Source organism: Homo sapiens, chromosome 12, assembly GCF_000001405.40.
Source record: "Homo sapiens chromosome 12, GRCh38.p14 Primary Assembly".
Classification (NCBI taxonomy): Eukaryota; Metazoa; Chordata; class Mammalia; order Primates; family Hominidae; genus Homo; species Homo sapiens.
The window spans coordinates 85,414,694-85,440,815 of record NC_000012.12 but is presented as its reverse complement, the minus strand read 5'-3'; the positions used below and the strand labels follow the sequence as shown (position 1 = coordinate 85,440,815).

The 26,122-nt window shown below is 35.7% G+C and overlaps 1 long non-coding RNA gene across 2 annotated transcripts in view, besides 1 other annotated feature; it reads right to left on the bottom strand.

Annotated features, from left to right (window-relative positions):
* The window catches only part of LINC02820 (long intergenic non-protein coding RNA 2820), a 172,109-nt gene that overhangs the window by 49,312 nt on the left and 96,675 nt on the right, over positions 1 to 26,122 (bottom strand). For both annotated transcript variants that reach the window (NR_183553.1, NR_183554.1), the window contains one exon: positions 16,612 to 16,698. This is a non-coding gene — a long non-coding RNA (long intergenic non-protein coding RNA 2820). The remainder of the gene's footprint in view (positions 1 to 16,611; positions 16,699 to 26,122) is intronic.
* Positions 16,016 to 16,105: an enhancer, noted in NCBI's record as "active region_6693". NCBI's record gives its function as "activates an Ori minimal core promoter by ATAC-STARR-seq in GM12878 lymphoblastoid cells {active_cell/tissue: GM12878}" and the evidence as "EXISTENCE:reporter gene assay evidence [ECO:0000049][PMID:35858748]".

Here is a 26,122-nt window from a genome sequence, read left to right as displayed (position 1 = left end):
CTTGTTCAAGAGTATTGCCTAAGACTTCCCTTAAGGTTTTCATAAATTAAACTATCTGGACCCTGTGTGCAACAGATTCATCCAATTGCAACATCTTTTCATCTATACAGCTTTCTTATGTGCAAGTGTACCAGAAGAAATGTTATCACATGATAAAATTAGTATATTCTTATAAGAATTCTGAAATACAGTGAACATCAGAAAAAGAAAATTATCTTAGTTTGACATACTTTGGTTGTGAAATGATTCTCCAGGCTTCTTGCATTTCTGCACCTCCTAGGAGAGAGGCATTCACTGCCTCTTGTTTCTGGCAATCTTATCAAGAGTATTTGTATAGCAAACAGTCTTGAAAGATAACAGTACTTTTCTCTCTTCAGAGCAAAGGGCAAGTTTGTTTACCGCCCTGAGTAAAAGATTGTAGTTCTCTAAGGTAGTAATTTCTCTTTTATATGTAAGCCATTGTATTTTCAGGTATCATTTGGGCTTGTCAAATCACCTCAGGAGTATTGAGGCAAAATAAATTTATGAAAATATGTTGATGTTCAAATTGCTTGCTCTGCCATGAGAAATATTTTTCTTGATCTCTAACCTAGGAGTCTCATATCTTCTGCCAACATCTATGAAGTTGTGGCAGGCTCACTTGCTAGCTTGCAAGTAGGGCAATATTTCAGATCCATTGCAACTCTAGACAAACTTTATTCCAGGTGATTTTATAATATTTTCTAGTGATCAATGATTATAAATGATTACAATTTTAGAAATTCATCAATTAATGTCAGGGTGTTGGAGCCAAGATAATTAACTAGAAGTAGCTAATGTGCATTGCTTCATGAAGAAAAGAAAGAGTGGTGAGTAAATACTAGTGTCTCAAGTAGGTCATCCAGCTGGGCATGTTGGGATTCATCAAGGAAGCAAGGTGGCCCATGGAGAACAGACAAAAGCAAGACAGGACAGCCACCCACCCAGGATTGGTGTGGAGTCAGGGTAGGCTCCCCACCATAGTGAAGTAGTGAGTGAGTGAGAGCCTCCAGGAACCACTTGTGCTGTGGACCTTTGCAATCCTGGGCTCAGGAGATCCCCCATGACTCTTACTAGAGCCTCCAGACTGACTCCAGACTGACAAGACAAGGATGCCCACTCTCACCACTCACCACTCCTATGCAACATAGTACTGAAAAGTCCTAGTCAGAGCAATCAGGCAAGAGAAAAAAATAAATGGGTCAAAATAGGAAGAGGAAATCAAACTATCTCTATCTGCAGATGATAGGATTTTATACCTAGAAAACTTTTAGTCTCTGACTAAAAGCTCCTAGATCTGATAAACAACTTCTGCAAAGTTTCCGGATCCAACACTAATGTACAAAAGTCAGTAGCATTTCTACACACCAGTAAAGTCCAACATGAGTGCCAAATCAAGAAAAACCCCCACAATATCTACAGAAAAGATAAAATACCTAGGAATACAGCTAACCAGGGAGATGAAAGTTTTCTACAATGAGAATTAGAAAGCACTGCTCAAATAAATCAGAGATGACACAAACAAATGGAAAAATATTCCATGCTCATGGATAGGAAGAATCAACTTTGTTAAAATGACATACTACCCAAAGCAATTTCAAGACTAAATGCTACTCCTATTAAACTATCAATCACATTCTTCACAGAATTGGGAAAAAAAACTAACTATTCTAAAATTCACATGGAACACAAAAAAAGAGCCCAAATAGCAAAAGCCATCCTAAGCAAAAAGAACAAAGTCAGGGGCATCACATTATGCAAATTCAAACTAAACTACAATGCTACAGTAACCAAAACAGCATGGTACTGGTACAAAAATAGACACATAGACCAATGGAACAGAATAGAGAGTACAGAAATAAAGCTGCACACCTGCAACAATCTGATCTCTGAAAAAGTAACAAGCAATGGGAAAATGATTCCTTATTCAACAAATGGTCCTAAGATACCTGAGTGGACATACACAGAAGACATACACAGAAACTGGACCCCATTCCCTAAGCCATATATAAAAATCAACCCACTATAAATTAAAGACTTAAATGTAAAATGTAAACTGTAGAACCCTTGAAGAAAACCTAGGAAATACCTTTCTAGACATAGGCCCTGACAAACATTCTCTAATTATTTGAGAAATCCAAATCAAAACCACAATGAGATACTGATACCATTTTATTCCAGTCAGAATTGTCTATTATTAAAAAGTCAAAAAGTAATAGACGCTAGTGAGGCTGCAGAGAAAAGGGAACACTTATATATTGCTGGTGGGAATGTGAATTAGTTCAGCCACTGTGGAAAGCAGTTTGGCAATTTCTCAAAGAACTTTAAACAGAACTACCATTCAACTCACCAATCCCATTATTGAGTATATACACAAAGGACTGTTAATCATTCTACTATAAAGACACTTACATATGTATGTTCATCACAGCACTATTCACAATACTAAAGACATGGAATCCACCTAAATGCCCATCAATGCTAGACTTAATAAAGAATATGTTGTATGTATATCCCATAGAACACTATGCAGCCATAAAAAAGAACAAGGTTATGTCCTATCCAGCAACATGGATGGAGTTGGAGGCCATTATCCTAAGCAAACTAAAACAGGAACAGAAAACCAGATGTCACATATTCTTCCTTATAATGGGAGCTAAACTTTTAGTACACATGGACACAAATAAGAGAAAAATAGACACAAAGGCCTACTTGAGGGTGAAGGGTGGGAAGATCAAAAAAACACCTGTTGGGTACTTTGCTTATCACATGGGTGACAAAATAATATGGATACAAACCCTAACAACATACAATTTATCTGTACAGCCAACATACACGTGTATCCCTAAAACTAAAATTAAACTATATATATATATATATATATATATATATATATATATATGTATGTATAAAACATCTCCATCACCACAAGAAGTGTCCTCATGCCTCTTCCAGTTAGTTCCCCTGCCGAGAGGCAACCACTATTTTCATTTCTATTCACATAGATTAGAGCTGCCTGTTTTTGAAATTCACAGAAATGGAATAATATCTTATGTACTCTTAATGCATCTTTCACTTTACACAACACTTATGAGACTGTATAAGTTGTTGTGGGCATCATTAGTTTGTTCTTTTATTGCCGAGTAGTTTTTCATTGTATGAACACACCACAATTTATCTACTCTCCTGTGGATGGATATTTGGAGAATTTCTAGTGTTTGGCTGCTACAAATAAAGCTTCTGTGAAGAAAAAACTATGGGAATTGGGATAATCAGAAAAGAACTAGAATACTTCACCATTACCAAATTTTTGCATCGAATAAACATGGTTATTTTAACATGTACTCTGGAGTCGGCCCCCTACCCCCCCAAAAAAAGAATTGACATCAGATATGTAACACTAAATGTCACTGACATAAACTCTTCTCCCTTTTGTTAATTTGGACATTTTTCTGTCCCTAGCTTTCTTTCAAGATAGCTCTAACTTTCCATGATGTCTCATTAATAATTTGCAAATACCTGAATCACATTTCAGAATATGACACATCTGTTCTAGGAGACTTGAATTTTTGTAATGGTGCCCTCTAATGTTTTTCCAACAAATTCTTCATCAATTATATTTAAAAATTTTAAATTTACATTTTCCCTACTTTTTACTATTTCAAGAAGACAGGAGTAATGCTCAATGGGATAGGTAAGAAAAATATGAACTAATTATTCTAATTCTTCATTATTCATTATATACACATTTTAAGTATGTATCCACTTCATTGTATCTCCTAGATAAGCCCTTTGAAAATCCAAATGAATTATAATCTAATTGTAGAGAAATATTTGTTTGCTTAAATGTATCTATTTTTCTTCTGATTTAAATCATCTGATTCTATTCAGTGACTATTTAATGCTTATTGTATACAATGGAATACTTGCTGTGGGGAACATAGAAAGATCAAATCAGGTTAAAATATAATGAGAACAAAGAAGTAATCAAATTTAATATATAACCGAGAGAAATAAGTGTATAACGTAGTACTAATTTGAGAACATAAATACAATAATTGCATTTTTGAGGTCTTCTCATCTCTTTTCAAACATCTTCTTTTTTAGAGCCTCAAGCCCTGTTCAAATTTATCTGAACATTCTGGAAATCCTATTTTCTAAAAATAGATATTTATTGCTGATTAGGAATTCTTTGGTTAATGTCAACTTATATGACACTGTAATTTTCCCTGAAAATTCGCTAAATTCTACCTCACCAATCAGTTCTTTCTTATTCAAAATTAAGTTCAGTGGCAGATTGACATAAGGAAAGTATATGAGTTTGAAAACTCAGGAAATTTTTATTTCCATCACAGACCTGTCTCTAGACAGCAGAGTCATCTTTTTTTGCTTATCTAATAAATTCACTCACTCATTCCAGAAATATTCATTGAATGTCTTACCATGTGACAGTCACTATTCTTTACCCTAGGAATAGAGCTGTAAACAAGATAGCAAAATGGTATAGGGACTATTATAATGTGATTATAATTTATTCAATTTTAAAATTTGCTTATAGGTAATTTCTTAATTTGTATTCCACCTTAAACTGTCTTTGAGGATAATTTGTATTTCTTCTTATAACAGGAAAAATTTGATAAAGAAAATAGAAAAACATAGTGAACTGTCATTAGGAAAACAGCTAGAATGAAGTAGATGTAGACAAACAGTAAAAAGTAAGCAAATGACTACATAAAATGTCAGACAGTTGTTAAGCGCTGAAAAGAGAATAAAACAGAGTTCGTGATGGAGAATGAGCTTAGTGGGAGAATATTGGCAAGATTTTGGAGATGCTGTTAAGATGAAATATACTAATGTGGTAATAAAGGTAGGGATTGAGCAGAGTGCTTGGTGAGCTTCCTTTAAAGAAATGTTTTGATGATCAGCAATTTCCTATGTAAAGTATATCTCTTTGATCAATTTATTTATTTATTTAATTTATTTTTTGTGTAAGACAGTGTTGCTCTGTCACCCAGGCTGGAGTGCAGTGGCCAACCTCTGCCTCCTGGGTTCAAGAGATTCTCCTGGCCGGGCGCAGTAGCTCTGTTGCCCAGGCTGGAGTGCAGTGGTGTAATCCACCTGCCTCAGCCTCCAAAGTGCTGGAATTACAGGCGTGAGCCACCATGCATGGCCTGACCTCTATTTATAATAAACTTTGCTTGTAAGGAAACAATATAATCACTATGATGATTTTCTTCTGGATAAACTGTATTGTGATGGTTAATTTTAGATGTCAACTTGACTGGATTAAGCCATACCTAGGTAGCTGATAAAACATCATTTCTGGGTCTATGAGGGTGTTTCCAGTAGAGATTAGCATTTGAATCGGTGGACTAAGTAAATAAGATCTACCCTCACCCCATGTGGACAATGTGGACAGGAACTATCCAATTGAATTAGGGCCCAGATAGAACAAAAGGCAAAGGAAAGGAGAATTTCTCTCTCTCTGTCTCGCTCTCGCTCTCTCTTCTTTCTCTTCTGGAGCTGGGAAACCTCTTCTCCTACCTTTGGACATCAGAACTCCAGGTTCTCTGAACTTTGGACTCTAAGATTTGCACCAGTGGCCCTCCATGTTCTCAGGCCTTCAGTCTTTGTCTAAGAGTAACACTATCGGTTTCCCTGGTGGTCAGGCTCTCAGACTTGCGTTAGCTATGCCACTGTCTTCCCTGGTTCTCCAGCTTGCAGACAGCTTATTGTGGGACTTATCATGCTCCATAATCATGTGAGGCAATTCTCTAATAAATCCTGTTTCATCTATCTATCTATCCATCCATCCATCCATCCATCCATCCATCCATCCATCCATCCATCCCCTATGGATTCTGTCTCTCTGAAGAACCCTGACTAATACACATATTATTTGAGGTAAAGAAAAGTTATGAGATTGGAGGACTGAGGGCAAACTACTAAAAAGTCATGTTGTCACTGATAACACACCTTTTCCCCCAAATGTTTGGAAAACTATTACCTATGTATATTGCATTTTCCTATTTTGCCTGTCATTAGAAGGAGGGTTCATGCAAAGTGGAGACTACAGAGACAATTTAAATGACATTCAAATGAACTCAAAACCTCAGAGTTAGAATACAAATTGAAGCTTTATTATAGATCAAATCAGTTCAGAAAAAATTGTCACAATTTAACAGTTGAGCAGAAATATGAAAATCTTTAAATAAAATACAACTCAAAAGCCCCAAGCATTTACACAAGCCCTAAATTATAAAGCATAAAGTTTATCGGTCTAAACATTTTCATCAAGTGCAGCATTTTGCCTTACCAAAAGAGGATTGCTAAGGTTGAAAGTGCATCCGGAGCAGGCAGAATAGAAAAGAAGGTACCTGGTCTGGCAACCATAGGTTAAGGGTTTTTGATCCACACAGCAAACATTTTCAAATAAGTAGAGATAGAAAGTTGAAAGCTATTAAATAGAGAATCATTTCCCCATTTCTTGTTTTTGTCAGGTTTGTCAAAGATCAGATGGTTGTAGATATGCGGCATTATTTCTGAGGGCTCTGTTCTGTTCCATTGGTCTATATCTCTGTTTTGGTATCAGTACCATGCTGTTTTGGTTACTGCAGCCTTGTAGTATAGTCTGAAGTCAGGTAGTGTGATGCCTCCAGCTTTGTTCTTTTGGCTTAGGATTGACTTGGCAATGCGGGCTCTTCTTTGGTTCCATATGAACTTTAAAGCAGTTTTTTCCAATTCTGTGAAGAAAGCCATTGGTAGCTTGATGGGGATGGCATTGAATCTATAAATTACCTTGGGCAGTATGGCCATTTTCATGATATTCATTCTTCCTACCCATGAGCATGGAATGTTCTTCCATTTGTTTGTATCCTCTTTTCTTTCATTGAGCAGTGGTTTGTAGTTCTCCTTGAAGAGGTCCTTCACATCCCTTGTAAGTTGGATTCCTAGGTATTTTATTCTCTTTGATGCAATTGTGAATGGTGCTGAGAAAACTGGCTAGCCATATGTAGAAAGCTGAAACTGGATCCCTTCCTTACACCTTATACAAAAAGTAATTCAAGATGGATTAAAGACTTACATGTTAGACCTAAAACCATAAAAACCCTAGAAGAAAACCTAGGCAATACCATTCAGGACATAGGCATGGGCAAGGACTTCATGTCTAAAACACCAAAAGCAATGGCAACAAAAGACAAAATTGCAAATGGGATCTAATTAAACTAAAGAGTTTCTGTGCAGCAAAAGAAACTACCATCAGAGTGAACAGGCAACCTACAGAATGTGAGAAAATTTTTGCAATCTACCCATCTGACAAAGGGCTAATATCCAGAATCTACAATGAACTCCAACAAACTCACAAGAAAAAAACAAACAACCCCATCAACAAGTGGGCAAAGGGTATGAACAGACACTTCTCAAAAGAAGACATTTATGCAGCCAACAGACACATGAAAAAATGCCCATCATCACTGTCCATCAGAGAAATGCAAATCAAAATCACAATGAGATACCATCTCACACCAGTTAGAATGGCAATCATTAAAAAGTCAGGAAACAACAGGTGCTGGAGAGGATGTGGAGAAATAGGAACACTTTTACACTGTTGGTGGGACTGTAAACTAGTTCAACCATTGTGGAAGACAGTGTGGCGATTCTTCAAGGATCTAGAACTAGAAATATCATTTGACCCAGCCATCCCATTACTGGGTATATACCCAAAGGACTATAAATCATGCTGCTATAAAGACACATGCACATGTATGTTTATTGCGGCACTATTCACAATAGCAAAGACTTGGAACCAAGCCAAATGTCCAACAATGATAGACTGGATTAAGAAAATGTGGCACATATACACCATGGAATACTATGCAGCCATAAAAAATGATGAGTTCATGTCCTTTGTAGGGACATGGATGAAGCTGGAAACCATCATTCTCAGCAAACTATTGCAAGGACAAAAAACCAAACACCGCATGTTCTCACTCATAGGTGGGAATTGAACAATGAGAACACATGGACACAGGGTGGGGAACATCACACACCGGGGCCTGTTGTGGGGTTGGGGGAGAGGAGAGGGATAGCATTAGGAGATATATCTAATGTTAAATGACCAGTTACTGGGTGCAGCACACCAACATGGCACATGTATACATATGTAACTAACCTGCACATTGTGCACATGTACCCTAAAACTTAAAGTATAATTTTAAAAAAAGAAAGAAAGTTGAAAGCTATAACCCAAGCCTATAAAACACATTCTTTCACAACTAAATACATAGATTGCTTCACAAAACAAACTATTTACTTGTTGACATGATATCAATTGAAATATGTCTTACTGATACTTAGTTAAAACAATACAAAAATTAAAGATTAATTGCCAGAAAATATTTTAGAATACTTTCCATATCCCTACACTTCTCTCTATAAAAAAGACTATTTTTCATAATATAACTTTTCTTTTAGTATTTTATGTATTGAGACTATAAATTGGCAGTCATATCACCACCATTATCATTAGCATTCATTTCATTCCTATCTAGGTAAGTGCTGATTCACAATATGATAGAAGGTGAAATATCTTATTCTTTCAGAAAAAGGCAGAATAATATCTTCATGATCTTGAAATTGGCAAAATTTTGTTAAATGGACACAGAAAGAGTTATAAGAAAAAAATGGATGATTAAAAACACACTAGAATTAAAAATTTCTTTTCCCCAAAATAGAGCATTAAAAATGATAAGGGAAAAGGCAAGGCACAGAGTATAATAATATGCTTGTAGCTGAGGATAGACATTCTAGAATAGCACTATACAAAAGAACTTTCTGCAATGTCTGTAACTGAGCTAGCTGTCCACTATGGTAGCCACTAATTGTGCATAAATATTGATTACTTGACATGGGACTAGTAAGACTGAGGAGTCAAATTTAAAATTTTATTTAATTTTAAATGAAAATTTATTTAACTTTTTAAAAATATTGCCAGTGGCTACTATATTAGACAGTGCATTACAACTGGGTTTTAGAGACTTACGTATACTTGCTTATTAGAACCCAAGCCTCCTAACTCCAGATGAACTCCCCTATGATATCATAACAAGTATACATTTCTAGCCAGTTTTGACCTTCACAACGAAGACATATACAATATTAGAAATAAGTTTGTGTTCATTTTATTCTTTAAGCTCTATTCCCACTAGTTAATTTTACTCATCCAATTGTCATATGTAATAGCTATTGAAATAGCTGAAATAATCATTTTCATCAATTTTTAAATCAAATTTTATCAAATTTATACATTTTACTTCCTTGGAGAAGCATCATGAAATAGTGATGACAAACAAATTAAACTCAAAGTCAAATTTTGCAGGATTTTTTTTTAATTAGCTAAAAGTTGTCTTTTTAATTACATTTTAAAACTTTGTCCAAATTATTGGAAGCTGCTTTGCAAATAAGCTTGGTTTAAAAAAGAAAAAAAAAGAAAGAAAAAAAGGAAGAAAGAAAAAAAAATCCTTATTTGGTGTGATTTGAGAGGTGCTAGAAGATAATTTAGTCATAAAATCTCTTTCCACTGGGTTAGGATCATTATCATTGGTCTTTGGTCTTTACCATAAACATCTATTTGCATCATCAGTGCCATTAATAAATAGCAATCAGATTAATCAATTTCAGCATTAGAACTCTGATTTTAAAATCAAATTATGATTAGCATAAAGAGTTCTGTCTTTACTATCGACAGCAATAATAGCTTCTATAAGTCAATGCTTACTATATGATAGTCATTATACTGGACACATTACATGTTTAATCCAAATGCTAGCTTCAAGTATCTCTTTCCTATATGAATCATCTACCTGAAAGTTGTTTCTCTGTCATATTTGAGTTCTGCATTAGGCTCTTACTGGTCACTACCTAGAAACTGGCATCTATTGGATGCCATTCTACCCAATCCCTTAATTTCACATGGACGACTACTAAGACTTTTATATATATGACAGAATTGATTGAAAAGTTGAGGCATTACTGAAGAGAATCAAGTTACAACATAGAAAAAAACAACAAAAAAAATCCCTAACACACTATGCTAAGTATGACTGTTCTCACGGTGCTAAAGAAAATAACTACAGGCCAGGCATGGTGGCTCACAACTGTAATCCCAGCACTTTGGGAGGCCAAGGTGGGCGGATCACCTGAGGTCAGGAGTTCGAGACCAGCCTGGCCAATGTGGTGAAATCCCATCTCTACTAAAAATACAAAAAATTATTTTTGTATTTTTATATAAAATACTTTGTGCCGTGGGAGTGGTGGCAGGTGCCTGTAATCCCAGCTACTTGGGAGGCTGAGGCAGGAGAATTGCTTGAACCCGGGAGGCAGAGGTTGCAGTGAGCCTAAATTGCGCCACTGTGCACCAGCCTGGGCAACAGGGTGAGACTCTATCTAAAAAAATAAAATAAAATAAATAGAAAACTACAAAAGGCAAATCCTTTATAAGACCCTTTCCTAGCTTGCTCTTGAAAGTCCCTTTTTCTTCATTCACAGTTCTAACCTCACAGTCACTTTTAGAAAAACTCAATCTCCTAAGCCTGAGTCTATCTCTTCCTTTCTTTCTTCCTTTTCTTTTGAGATGGAGTCCTTCTCTGTCACCCAAGCTGGAGTGTAGTGGCGCGATCTTGGTCACTGCAACCTCCGCCTCCCAGGTTCAAGCAATTCTCCTGCCTCAGCCTCCCTAGCAGATGGGATTACAGGGCACCTGCCCCCACATCCAGCTAATTTTTATTTTTATTTTTTATTTTTAGTAAAGATGGGGGTTTTACCATGTTGGCCAGGCTGGTCTCTAACTCCTGACCTTAGGTGATCAGCTCACCTCAGCCTCCAAAGTGTTGAGATTACGGGCATGAGCCACTGCACCCAGCCCATCTTTCTTAACACTATAAGTTTATTGAACAAAATGCCACAATTGTGCATTTATCTGACTCAGAGCTATGCAATGCTATAGAAGCCAGGAGCTTCAAAAGACTATGTTGAAATGGACATCAGCATTCCAAGGTCGAAGCTTCCTCACTCATCAAACTTGTCGACGGATAACTACTGTTTGAAATGCTTGTGCTCGCACACACTCAAAACAACTTCTTAGGATGAACAAAATTTCTCATTGCCAGTGTCAAGTAAATCACATTAATGAAGATGTTAATTTTCCTAAAGACAAAATAATCCACATAGTCTACTGCCTTGAAACGCAAATCCGTATTCCTACTTCCAAGCTGAGACACAAAGAAAATCGGCACATTGTATTTTCCATATATGGCTGAAGCAATATTTCTAGTCCCTAACATTCTTTCACAATCTTGACATTCCTCATCCAGAAATTAAATTTCTTTCCATTCTCTTTGAACCTGGTAAGGTTTTGACCATCCTGATAAATAGAATATGCATAAGTGCCATTGATCTCTGAGGCTAGGTTATGAAAGCACATACAGCGGCTACCTGGCTTTCTCTTGGAATATTCACTATTAGAACTCAGCCACTAGGTAGGGCACGGTGGTTTATGCCTATAATCCCAGCACTTTGGGAGGCCGAGGTGGGTGGATCATCTGAGGTCAGGAGTTCGAGACCAGCCTGGCCAACATGATGAAACCCCATCTCTACTAATACAAAAAATTAGCTGGGCATGGTGGTGTATACCTGTAATCCCAGCTACTCCGGAGGCTGAGGTAGGAGAATCGCTTGAACCCAAGAGATGGAGGTTGCAGTGAGGCGAAATCATGACACTGCACTCCAGCCTGGACAACAAAGTCAGACTCTGTCAAAAAAAAAAAAAAAAAATCCAGCCACTATGTTGTGAGAAAGCCCATACCACTTGGAGAGCCCATATTGCAGGTGTTTAAGCCAACAGCCTCAACTAAAGTCTAAACTAGCATCATCCACCAATGTTCCTGAGGAATTAAGACTTCCCAGCTTTCTATGATACTGTTTTACTCAAAAGTTATCTCCCTATCTCTCAAAGATATTCAAGGACTCCTCAGTCAGATTTTTGATGACTTTTCAAGAAGAATCATTGACTTCCTTTTCCTTCACCAAATTTGACTCCTTCTCCATGAGCACAACAGCAAGCACCCAGCCTTCATTCCATCCCATTGCTCCTCCTGTCCTTTTCAATCTCTCACTGTCTAAGTTCCATTCTTTCTTCAAGCTCCACAAATCACACCTCTTTAAACAAGACTCACCTTGGATTTCCACCCTTCACTCAACTCTCCCTTCCCTGAACTTCTGGAATTTTCCCTAGGATAGCAACTTGAAAGTGAACTTGAGCTACTGAGTATTTCTACTTAAGTTTTATGAATGTGACTACAGTCAGATCAAGTCAAGCGTATTAAAAATCTTCCAGCCTTTATACATATGCCGTTATCTGTTTTGAATCCTTTTCTGCAACTCATGACACACCCTTCAATTCTATGCTTAAATATCACTTCCTCAGGAAAGTTTTACTTCATCTTTCAATCTAGCTTAGGTCTACAAAACAGTCTATAAAGGCATAACAAAATATCAACAAAAACTGTCATCATTGAAACAAAATGCCTTTTTCAAACCAATACTCCTGTGAAGATCATCTGGCTGACTCAGAATTGCTTAGCTTTCTCTCTTTTTTGACAAGTTAGACATTCTGTTTGGTTAGAATGGGCAAATGTCTGTTAAGAAAAGAACATCTAAGATTCAACTTGAAATTGATCCCTGAGTGGTGCTGCGGTGTTGACCCCATTATACATGTGAGTGATGTTTGCGGTGGGTGGGGGAACACCAGGGGAAAAGGCTATATAATCTGTCTTGGTCTACGAAAGGCAGACAGAAGGAAAAGAATGTAGGAGTTAAATTTGCAGAGAAATAGAGATTTTAGTAGGAATATGGAATTAGGGAAAGAGATGACTCTCAGAAAATAAGTCTGGAGGAATCTGCATGGCTATGAGGAGAATATCCATTTTCTCAGAGAACATGATAGAAGATTAATATTTATTTTTAATTCCATGTAGAGGGTGACTCCCAGCTGACATCTAGGCTTTAACTATGCTGTACTTTGACATCATGGTACTTACAGATTATGATTTTTAAAATATTTGAATAATGTGTTTTTGCTTAAACTTTGTTTCTCCCACAGAACTGTAATCTTCCTAAGTGCAAGGTTCATGTTTCTTTCATTCATTGTTATACAAGTTGAGAGTCCCCAATCTGAAAATCTGCAATCCAATATGTTCCCAAATCTGAAACTTTCTGAGCACTGACATGTCACCGTAATAGAAAATTCTACACCTGATCTCATGTGACAGGTTGCATATATTATGAAAAATATTGTATAAAAGTACAATGTGTTTAAGATGTACAGACACATAAATGAATTTTGTGTTTAGACTTGGGTCCCAATCTCATTATGTATATGGGGATATTCCCAAATCAAAAAAGAATTCAAAAGACTTCTGGTCCCAGGAGATATGTAAAAGGGTTATTTAGCCTGTAATATCATCAATATCATCATCAAAACCAATTTCTGTTATGTACTAGGTGTTCAGTAAATATTTGTTGGTGAAGAAATAATTATCTCAAGAGGACTGTATATATTTTAGGGCAGAGAGTGTGCCTTATGATCTTTTAATCTCAGTCTATCACAGTGCCACACAGAGTTAGGTTTTTTAAGTGTTTACTCTTGATGAAAATTGCTACCATTTATTGAGAAGTTACCATAGGTTAGATGATTAAGTGTTTCATATGTTTTATCTAATCTAATAACCAAAACCACTGTTAGTTATAGGAACTATTCTTCCCATTTTCCAAATTAGGTAATAGTAATGCAGAGATATTAAGTAAATTAACCTAAATTATGTAATCTGTAAATAATGGTATCAAGATTCTAACCCAAGCCTGTTTAAAACCTGTGCTTTTGTTTTGTCAACTAGTGAACTAGTTTTCTTTGGAACTGTTGTAATTCACTGATGTTTGCTGAGCACGCCTCATTTTAAGCTGCATTTTTTTTTTAACCAGCATTATGAGAATGTTTATTTTGACAAATAAAATGCAGTACAATGAATTTCACCAGAAAAGTTTTAAAAAGTAGGTACAAATAAATATGTTTACAAATTATTATAGAAACAATACAAAAGAAGACTAAAATTCTCAGTAAGGAAAAACCAAAATGTGCCCAATCATATAAAGGCTCTTCCTTTGCAAGAAATGGGGATAAAGCTGAAGACCCAGTTTGGTTTTGCTGCTGAAAAATGTACAGAATACTTAGAAAAACCAGTTGCGGTCAAACGTTGTAAGCCCACTACCCGTACCTGCCTATTTTTGATCTGAGAAAAGTTGATGACCACAGTGCAAGATAGAGCTGAAGACAGGACAGCCAGGCATTCTCCATCCAAAGTCCATCACCCTACATTAATCTTTAAGTAAAATCAGAAGAAAAGCAAGTCCTTAGTGAGGTCTGAACTCTGCAGCCGGGTGACTGGATCTCCTCCATTGTAGTGCTCAAAATCGTTTATTTTTTGGCCAGCAGAACAACTTTATAGATCAACTGCCTTTAGCAAATGCCAGCTGCCTCACAGCCTTCACGAGCAGGGTCTGACACTGACCAACAGTCCTATCAGAAACTCAAGGTCTGTGTGATGTGGCAACTGTCGGCTATACCTGGAAAGCCCTTGAGAACATGAGAGGTAAAGGAAAGCACCAGGGTTTGCCCATTACTACATGTAATATGGAGATAAGGTCAGGGAAAGAGGAGATGATTATGAAGCAAAACCAATTCACCTACTGCACAATTTGACTTATATCTGGTTCTGGTTGGTCATACAAGGTGGGTGGTGGGGTATGGGGCACATAACTACATCCTGCAGAAGAGTTTGACCCTAATGTGTGCTCTATTTATACTACTTGTGCACTTCTTTCTTTTAGCCAAGACCTACCTGAAATGGGATTTGTACATGCAGATATGGAGAAAGACACAGAAATTAAAGCTAGAAGAAAGAAGAAGGAAAACCAACTCAACAAGCTAAAAGTAAAGGCATTTATCTAATATGAACCTTGACTTCATCTCACTGGAATCTAAATCCTTACATGAGATTTTCTATTTACAGTTGATAGCTTAGCACACAAGAGCTGAGCATTATTAAACTGAAATGAATGTCCTATATAGCTGTATAGACTCCAGTTCCAGAAATAATCAGAATAGTTTATAGGGGTTGTTAATAACAGGCCATAACCAAGGAATACTATTAAGCAAAATGATACCTTTCTGGAATTTTGAAAGATTTGGGACAAGAAATACCTTCTTCAAAAGCTGTGTAAAGTTATGCAAAAAAAAAAAAAAAAAAAAAAAAAAAAACCTGATTGTAGAGAAATTGTTGTGGTCAGTGGACGATTGAATACATAGTGGTAGAAAATATTTTATTCCTGATAATTATTCCAAAAAAATATAAGTTTACCAGTGTAGATAAAATCTTTCAATAGCTCAAAAGTTTCTACAGCTCTCTGTAATGCAAAATTGTCTACCAACAGGCAGAACCAGCACAGTCTGACTGACACACAGCACTATAAACTGGTAATCTGATTAGAAGAATAGTAGTTCTGAATTAATTAACCCTTAAGTGATATTTTTTAAATTAGATTTTCAGTTTCCGGGTCTTTTAGTTGTCTTCATGATTATGGACTTCGACCGCCACCCAGTGGAGAAATGCATACAGTTTGCAATTCTTCAAAATAGTAATGTTCTTTAAAGTCTCATTATTTAATGTATGACCTCATGAGCATCTGGATGAAATCTCATAATGGGAAAATTACATTTTTTTTTCATTTTTTCCTGCAGCCTAGGAAGCCAGTAGGACACCGTTCGGGCACCCTGGAGGAAACTCCTCAGTGCACTTCTGCAGGCAGCCATATGGTTAGAATCAGCGGGTTCACCCAGTGCCAGCTTACAACGGGCGTGTATATGAATAGCATGCAAGCAATCAGACTAGCTATGGGTTTCATATACTCCCTCTGTATAGGGTGCTTTTTACACCTTATGGAAAAGGTAAGTTAGACAAGAGCTAATATTTTTCTCCCCAGTAAGGCAGCAGGACTGCCGTTAAAGTGATGTCAGAGTTTCCATTTCAGTTCCTTATTTTCAATGCTTTAGCCCTCTGCCGTAAACATTAACTCTATGAAAAAAAATACATACTCACTTATATTGCATCTCAGGCCAGGAGAACATTCTTCTTATTAAATAAATGGTCTTGAAAAGAAATTAGATTGAGCATCATAAAATTCTATTTTTAGGGGAGGTGGAACCAACACAAGGCAGAATGAGGGATTTTTTTGTAAACTGTAATGTGTTTTCTTTCAAATGTTTGGGAAGAAAACAACAAGAGGAGTCAGAATATAGAAAGTTTGCCCAACCTTGCCTAAAAGAGCCTATCTAGTTATTCTGATTATTATAACGCTACGCAAGGAGTTTATTCTGTAAAAATCAGGTCAAAGTGGCATTCCCCAATCCTGCCCTCCTAAATAACACAAACAGGTAATTTAGAAAATATTTCTGAGTAAACAAGCAAAAGCTCCCCTCACCTTGTCCAGTGGTACTCCAGCTCTCAGAGTCACGGCTCAGGCAGATTGAGGTTTCTGTGGTATGGCCTCTCCCCATGCAGTCAGTACCTGTTACCATGATAAAAAAGCATGTCAGTCTTCCTTGTGGTCTGAAAAGTTCCAGTTCTGAGTACTCAATTCATTTGGATAAAATAGATTTTTTTTAAGATTAAAAAAAACTCAGCTGTCTGATCAAGGCTATGTTTTTCTTTTGTATGATCTGCACTCCCTGTGTAAAAAGGAGTTGGTAGTAACCACAGATCTCTGCCTCTGAAGGTTAAAAGAAAAAGAAAAATAAAGAAAAGAAGGAGAAGGAAGACAATGACAGGAAGAGGAGGAAGATGAGAGAAGAAAGAAAGCAAGAAAAAGAGAAAAAAGAAAAAAATAAAGAAAAAGAAAGAAGGAAAGAAGGAAAGAAAGAAAAGAAAAGAAGAAAGAAAAAGAAAGAAAGAGAAAAAGAAAGAAAGAAAGAAAGGAAAAAATCTTAAGAATTTAATATTAGGTCAAAAAAATTGTGGTTTTGGCATAAAAACTGCCCTTTTAACTTCTGAAAACTTTTTTTTCTGGTTTGGAAAAGAAATAGAGCAGTTTTGTGATGAAAGGATTTATAGAGAAGGTTTTCTTGGTATTCTGGTTGGATTTATTTCAACTACTGTTTAGAAAGAGAATATTTGTTATGTGTTTAAGTTGTTTTATAGTGTTAGGATCATTCCATGAGAAGACTAAAGCGATTATAAGAATATTGTCTAACTTTCTGCCCATCTCCATCTCAATTTCACGAATACCAAAGTACCAGACACAAATTTAAATTTCCTGAATTGTGAAGAAGGATATTAGCCATGGTGTCATCTGTATTTTTTCCTTATGTCTCTGTATTTCCTTGTAACCACCATGAGGTTTATAGATGCTTTACATTTTTTAAAGTGTATTTTGTCTTTTTATATTATTTACTTCTCTCATCTTTCTAAGACATGAAGAACTACCTAATTTGGGGTCATAAGAATGAGGGCTATACAGGAAGACTAATTCAAGGCTTCAGATTCAGGGCAGGCAGTTTAGGACACAACACTTATTATCATCTCCCTGAACCTCAGACGTTATCAGTCTGCAAGAGAAATTTAATCCTGAACATAAATTGCATTTCCTAAAAAAACATAATCTTGCCTTAAGACACCAACCTCCCTGATTACAGGGAATGTCTGTGTTTACACATTTGTACAGAGCATGCTGACTGTATTAGTGTCCTAGGAAACAAACTGTGTGCTGCTCACAGACCTGCTGCAAGCACTAAGGAGAGAAAGAAAAAGAAATTTTGAAATCAGACCCCCGATCTCCAACTCCTTTCAAATTCTTGAAGCACATTAGCTTTACTACTGCATGATGTACACGGTAGTATTTCTTCTAATGAAATCTGACTAAAAGTTTAAATGAGTTTAATGCATGAAATGTATAAATAAAATGTGGCCTTGATTAAATTTAGACTTGATACATAACTTAAATGGGTAGCCCAAGAATAGCATTGGTATCATGTGTCTAGACCTTTTCAGGCTTTGCAAAAGTAGTTTGGATTTTATCAGTTAGTGCAGAACACTTTCTAACAGGAGCACAGTATATATAAAAAGCTGAAATATGCAAAAGTACTGTGGAGAAAAGTGAGCGTAATTGAAAAGAAGCGACTGAGAAAATAACATAAGATATTAAAAGGTGACCGCAGAGTGGAATTTTGAAGTGTTGATTTGCAAAGAGCAATTTACATAGGTAAAACATTCCATTTGCCGTTTCTTCTGGATTTATTTTCGTTTCATGACTTTGGAAAAATCTCTTAATTTCATGAAGCCTCAGTTTTCCCCAGTCGTGGATCCAGATGCCTTATTTGCCTACTTTCTAGTTTGTTGGAAGGATTAGAATGAGAAAACAAATACAAAAGGATTTGGATTCTGTAGAGTGCTTATAAATCTAAGGCATTATCATTATAATAATTTCAGCTATATATCTAATACACTGCTTTTCAGTGTATTGAAAATACACAGTTGGCTTTTTCCTTAAGGATTTATCCAAAAGTCTACAAGACCATATCCATTACTCATATAAAACTCTTTGACCACATGACACAGAAAAGAGACTTTTTCAGAAACGAACTTTTCAGCTAGTGTGTTAGATATGTAACCCATTATTTGTAATAGGTAGGGCTAAAGCTATTAGACATATTAAATGGATTTTAAAAACAGCTCTTGGGAAACTACATAAATTAGTAGTAAAATGTACGGTCTTTGAAGTCAGCCATCCTCAGCTTCAATCCTGCCTCTACTTACTTGCTATAAGTATCACAGCTGTACAATTAAGAATGTTACTGTATCTTCATAAACTGTTTTTATATCATTTATTAAATGGAGATAAAAAATACCTGCTTAATGGTTTTGCTGTGAGGATTAAATAATATGATATGTGGAGAAGTTTTAACTCATCCCTGGTATTCAATAATAGCTATTCGAAAAAATTCTACTTTATTTTTTATTGTTTTATATATATACCACATAAATACTAAAATATGCATTTCAAGGCAATCACACCCATAAATAAAAAGGAACGTATTCCACTTCAAAAGGTCAAAGAGTTATTCCTTATTGACAGTTTAAAAACGGAAGACCAGTTCTGAAATCTCTCAAATTGAAGATGGAGAGGGGGATAAATGAAACATTGCAACATAAGGACAGCGCATGATGGAGTGGCAAAAGTTTCTCTTAAACCTCCTCAGGAGAAATGTTTGATGATTTTAGGCTAACCCACAGCCAAACTCTGTTTTTGTTTTGTTTTTATTTTTTCTGTTTTAAAGATTGCACAGTGCCACTCAGTTTTAGGCATCTAACAGAATGAAACCAGGTGAGTTTGAGCCAATTTTGCCTTTCATTTTTCAACTTTGTTTATTACTTTACTTAAACCACAACATTCTGAGATCTCACAAGAAAATCTGTTTCTGTGACATTTTCAGCCTGATTTCCAAACCAGAGAAAGAGGTTCAGATAAACTTGGGCTTGTTTCAAAAAAGCATCTGAGATTCTGGATGTTTATTTGAAGCAATCTGGACTCCTGACCTTTAGAGATTCCCCCACCACCCATAAAGAAAGCCTACAATGAATTTACTGTGCAAGGGTCTACTGCTTTAGTTTCTGAATGGATAAAAATCCCCTTAGTTTCAGGGAAAGTTGTTTCCAAACACATTCAGTGGAATCAAGCCTTAAGCAGATATATCGATGCCCTCCATTTAGGAAAAGATATCAACCAGTCAGGGCCCTAGTTCAGAAAACCTGTAATAGATTATGTATTCAATATGCTTTATGAGTTTAAAAAGTATTCCTAGGTTGATACCAATAAGAAGAGGCTCTTGTTGAAGAAGGTGGAGGGTTTAATATCTCCTGGAGCACTATAGAAAAATTCAGACCAAACTGCTCTCTCCCATACAGAGCTTCCTTTAATATCAATGTGGAACTTTAGAAAGTATGCCAGTCCTCCCCATGTTCTTGAACTTTTTCAAAAACTGAATTCTGCCACTTTTGAAACGATGAACACTGAGAAATTGGATTTGAAACCACAGCATTAAATGCTTAAAATCCGATCCTTCTGTCAGGACCTGGGATAAATTAAACTGATGTACATTATTTTTAAAGAAAGGAAAAAAATATGGGAAGCGGGTTTTGAACCCTGAAGGCATAGAACAAAACAAGTTATGCAGGTGATACAAACCATCTTAGTTCATTCCTATAATGGCTTTCTACTTCCATATGGTGGCCCATACTGGAAGTAATTCTTAGGAAAACATGTTTGTATGTGATAAATAAAACATTATTTTAGAGGTTTCTGTTTTTATTTTCAAAGATTGCTATTTTTGTATTCAGAGTTCAGACTGCTGTGTAATTTTTTTTTTTTACTTTGGTATTTGAGTTTATTTTTTCAAAGAGAGAGTGCTAGAGAATGTGTATAGATGATAAGGGTATAAGGTGAACAATTATCAAGTGTTTGCATCAGATGAATTCAGTGCAGCTGGATGATATGTATTAGGATTTAATCAAAGCTTTAGGAATGTAAACATAAAACGGGTTGAGTTTCACTTAGCATATTCTAAACTTGTTAATAAGTTATTTCACTAATACTACATAGATTTTATTAACATCTAACTCTCAAATAATAGCATTAGTCTAAAGATAAATACACAGTTAACAGTAAAAGCCTCTAGTTTATTAATTTTGGTTGTTGTCAATGGAATAATTTAATTTCATAATAGGTGCATAATAGGTGCATAAATAGGGAATAAAGCTTCCTAATTTAGAGAAATCTTGAAAAAATGAATTTCTTGATAATGATTCAAGCAGTAATAAGAAAAGCTCAAATATCAGAAGAGACCCACCATAGATAACCATCATTCAAATATTTTAAAAATCTAACAATTTAAGTTCACTTCACATATTTCTGCCAAGAGCATGGCTTTTTTCTCTGTTTCAGATCATTCTGGTATAAAGTATAAGCTTGTTTTCAGATCCGGGATATTTGCAAAGCAGGAATTAGAAGAAAGAAGATGTCTATCAAATTTTCACTTTTGAAAAAGATGCATGTGTACATATATACCTACATTATTACTATAGGCAGCATCATTTGTCAATCACATTATAATTACTTAAATGGACTTTGAGATTTACTGTGGGTTTTTTAATGTCTTCAAAAATTTCACTTAAAAAATTTGCTATTTTGTTTAATAAAATAATTAAAATGAATTATCTGTATATAATAGACTTTAAAAAGTAACAAGACATTGCAGAATATAGACATAAGTGTCCCCTGTAAGCTGCAGAATATTTAGAACTAGATACATTCAAATTGAAGTGGAGACATTAAAGAGTAACTTGGAAAAAAATGGGTGAAATAGAATTAATGGAATATATAAATATTTGAGACAATGAATACTCAAAAGTTAAAAGAGTACTTCATCCACTTCACACAGAACTTTTACGTTTTCTCAAAAATACTCTTGGAACAAGGCCCAAATATCAGAAGTTGAACAAATGAATGCTTACCGGCAAACAACAAACGAGTGTAGGCTGTGAAGCTGCCACACCCATGTAACCCCTTGTTTCAGTATGCATTCCAGACTGTTCCATTTCATTTTATAGCATCAAAAGTGAGCAGAAAACATATTCCTGAATCAATTAACACAACATGCAACCTTTTTTTTTAAACCTCTGATCTTAAACAGTGCCTATGAACTAAAGAAAAAGTCATGCAGCTTTCTGGTGAATTTGATCTCTGTTTGCAGTCACCAATTAGTTCTAATTATTCAACATCTCATATCCTTAGTTTTATGATTTGGATCATAAAGTGCCTAAGTGTTTTATTTCACATTGTTTCATTGATTTGGACCTGAGATTCAAGGGAAAGCTAAGGAATACTACAAATCTCAAGGTTGTAAACACTCGTGTAAAAACCAGGTAGTTCCTAAAAGAGGATGTTTTCTGGAATTTTTTTTAAGGCAACTGGACTCTCCATTCTCGTATACATTAAGCAGCTCAAAGGGCATGCTCTTTTCAGAAAGACTTAATGATTTGTACATCCTTCCTTTCTCCCACAAATAACTGAGAGGAATTTTAATCAATTTTTGTTAACATTTATTTTTTACCAATTTATTTTTAAGTTTTCAATTTTGTAACGTAGTGGATACATTGAAGTTTTTAAAAAGTATGCTAAACTACAAGCACATGGATTCTCAAAATTTTTCTCACATATGTGGTATCAAAGTGGGGTTTATATATTGTGAGATTCCTTGATAGGATATGACTAACACCCTTTTGTCATTATTCATTTTATGCCAGAGTTCTCTGATAATTTATTATATTTAGAGAGTATATGTTTCAAACTTTAGTACCTCTAAAATCATGTGATAACAGATTTTTATTATTTAAAGAGTTTACAATAAGATAATTATGTATCAATAACATTGTTATATTTTTTCTCACAAGAAATTTTTCAAAAATTTGTTTCTGTGAAAGCATTTAAAGAATTCAGTCTTCATCTCAAATTATTTTTTCTCTATTAAATTTTATTATGGAAAAAAAGGTAAATCATCACAACTGAGTACTTTGGCCTTGCATAGATGGAAATTTATCCCACGTATTCACAAAGGGCCACTTCGTACTACAGTAACACCTTACTAAGTGGATGTCATTGACTGTCAGCTGAAAGGAAGAAGTATTTTTGTCCTGTTGTAATTTTTATTCAAAAGGGACTCAAAATACTTTTCAAATTCAGCACTACCTTCAACTTGAAATTGAACCACCCTGGAGAAACTGCAAGGGCCGTCAATCATTTCATGGCCGCTACACAGCTGATGGGGAAACAGCATATTTTTGGCAACCATGGGGAAACCTTTTTCATACCAAAAACACAGTGGTGTCTTTGATCTCACAGAGGGAGGGCAAGACTTGTTGGCTTTTTTCTTAAGGATTTATCCAAAAATCTACAAGACCAAATTCATTACTCATACAAAATTCTTTGACCACATGACACAGAAAAGAGACCTTTTCAGAAACATTCAATAGGGAATTTTTCCTCTAGTCCTAAAGTTTGCAAAATCCCTGATAAATTTCTTACTGGAATTCAATCTTAACCAAAATTTATTTTCATTGGGTATCCCACATGCTACCTTCCAATGGAAGCTTTGCTTTATTATTTTGTTAATGATGCCCATTTAATTGAGAGATATATATATCAATTAAAGTTTCTAAGAAATTAAGAACACCTAAAAAATTAAGAATGCATTTTTAAAAATCAGGTCTTAATTTGTCAATTCTTTATTGACAATTGCATTGGAGGATTAAAATCTTTCTGTTACTGTGATTTTTGAAATATGACTTTCATTCTTTTAACTATCAATTATTATAATAAAGGTTACAAACAAAACAGACACTGGAAAATTGTTATATGTGGCTGTAATTCCTCATGAGCTTGGTCTTTGTTTAGCTTAACTCTGGATCCCATAGAATGAAAGTGAAATACCATTTCTAGAGAACATATTATGTGCCTAAAACCCTGCTGGGAGCTTTACTTTTTCATCTCATTTAATCATACGATAATCCTGTGGATGTTGTGGTAAGTGATAGTATTTTTCCAGTTATCCTCTGCCTTTTCCTATGAGGTGATGATACCTTCCTCCATGTGAGGCTTGGGTATGTGACTTCCTCCTGCCTATTTAAAGGTGAGTGAGAGTGATGCATGGCCCGTTTAAGCAAACCCTTTCAGAGCTACCGTATAATCGGTTCCTGCATCTCTCTTCTCCCTCTGCCATAAGACCAACACATCCCAGAAGGGGTGGCTTCTTCTGCCAGAAGGAAGAAAACAGGGAGCAGAACTTTAGCTGACCTGAAAAGGGTCTGCAATCCAAGCAATAAATGGACCTTTGATGTTGTAAGCCTCTCAGATTTTGGCAATGTTTTTGACCACAAACACCTTAACAGAACACAGGTAAGTAACATTAATACTCATTTAGTAGAGGAGTGCATTAAGGATTGGAGGAACAAAGTAAGTTGCACAAAGTAGCACAGTTAGTAAACTAGACAGCAAGGAAACGAATGCAGGTGTCTGGCTCCATCTGCCATGTTCTACCTTACAGTATTTCAGGAGGTCAAAATGCATGCCAACTCATTATCTGAAAGATTCCTTAGTTGTATAATTCAACTAAATACCAAACAGAATTATCGATTATTCCACTGATTCACACAATTTTTCCTCAGTAGGCCTGTACAAATGCTAGACCAGAAAAACTTCTTTGTTCTTTTATCTTTTCTATTCTATTCTATTCTATTCTCTGTTATTTACTTATTATCTGTTTATATTTCTTCCAAGGTTAATATACATATTTTCATTATTTTTAATATTCAAACCTTAACTCCATACTTGGGTACAAATCCCTGCTCTGCCACTTATTTGCTATATTACCATGAACAAGTCACAACCTCTGTAAGCCTCAGTTCTTGGCATATATAATGGGATAATAATATCCATTCACAGGCTTTATTTGATAATCAATAATGCATGAAAAACTGTTGTCATAGCAGGCATCTAACAAAGATTAACTTTTTTTTCCTAGTATCCTATCCCTTCTGTTAAGTGAGGTAACATCTCTAGAAGAAATTGCAGAGTCATGGATAACTAGTTCCACAAAATATTCAAACAACACTCTTGAAACCAACACAGAGAAAAAAAAATATGCTTCACCTTCCACCTTGATTTTCCTCAGTTTATATATTAATATATTGTTTTGTTCTTTTTTGTTTTTGGGACAGGGTGTCACTCTGTCACCCAGGCTGGAGTGCAGTGGCATCACCTCAGCTCACTTCTCCTCGACCTCCTGGGCTTAAGTGATCTTCCCACTTCAACCTCCTGAGTAGCTGGGACTACAGGTGAACACCACCACACCCAGCTAATTTTTGTATTTTTTGTAGAGACCGGTTTTCACCATGGTGCTCAGGCTGGTCTCAAATCCCGAGGCTCAAGTGATCTGCCTGCCTCGGCCTCCCAAAGTGCTGAGCCACTGAACCTGGCCTCAGTTTATATAATTTTACCTTGAGTTTCTTCAAAAGAGGCAAGCTTGTTTTCTTTTGCTTTGTTTTTCTAAAGGACTTTGTATATTGTTTTATAAAATCAGTAACTTTGGCTATAGGTATATATTTGTTTTTGAGATGGAGTCTTGTTCTGTCACCCAGGCTGGAGTGCAGTGGTACAATCTCAGCTCACTGCAACTTCCGCCTTTCGAGTCAAGTGATTCTCCTGCCTCAGCCTCCTGAGTAGGTGGGACTACAGGCCTGTGCCACCACGCCTGGCTGATTTTATTTATTTATGTATTTTATTTTTTTAGTACAGACAGGGTTTCACCATATTGGCCGGAATGGTCTCGAACTCCTGACCTCGAGTGATCTGCCTGCCTCGACCTCCCAAAGTGCTGGGCTTACAGGCATGAGTCACCACGCCTGGCCCTTTGGGAATATTTACTTTTCTTGTATCTGCTCAATCAAAAGTATCAGGTCTTCTATACGGATTTCTCTTGTATTATTATGTTTCTACTCTAACACACCCTATAGCATTAACTATAAAATATTACAAAGTTTTAGCTATAACCGTGTTTTAATCTAATTATCAACCAGAATTGAGCGGTAATATCTGTGTGCACTTTTTGCATGTTAAAGCATAACACCAGGATGGCAGATCCATTCTTCATTTGACATTAAGTTATTTGTCTTTACATTAAATTTTGGCGTCGCTCATTATGTCTTGAGTCACTTCAACAAACTTCTAATTTTATGAAAATCACAGAAAGAAAGGTAGTAGACTTGAAGTTCAAAGACTGGATCAAGGTTGGATTACATTAATTTTTATTTCCATTAAGTAGATAAAACAATCTATCTTCGTAATATGCAATGTACTTTTGAGGTTCAAATGAGAAAACAATAGA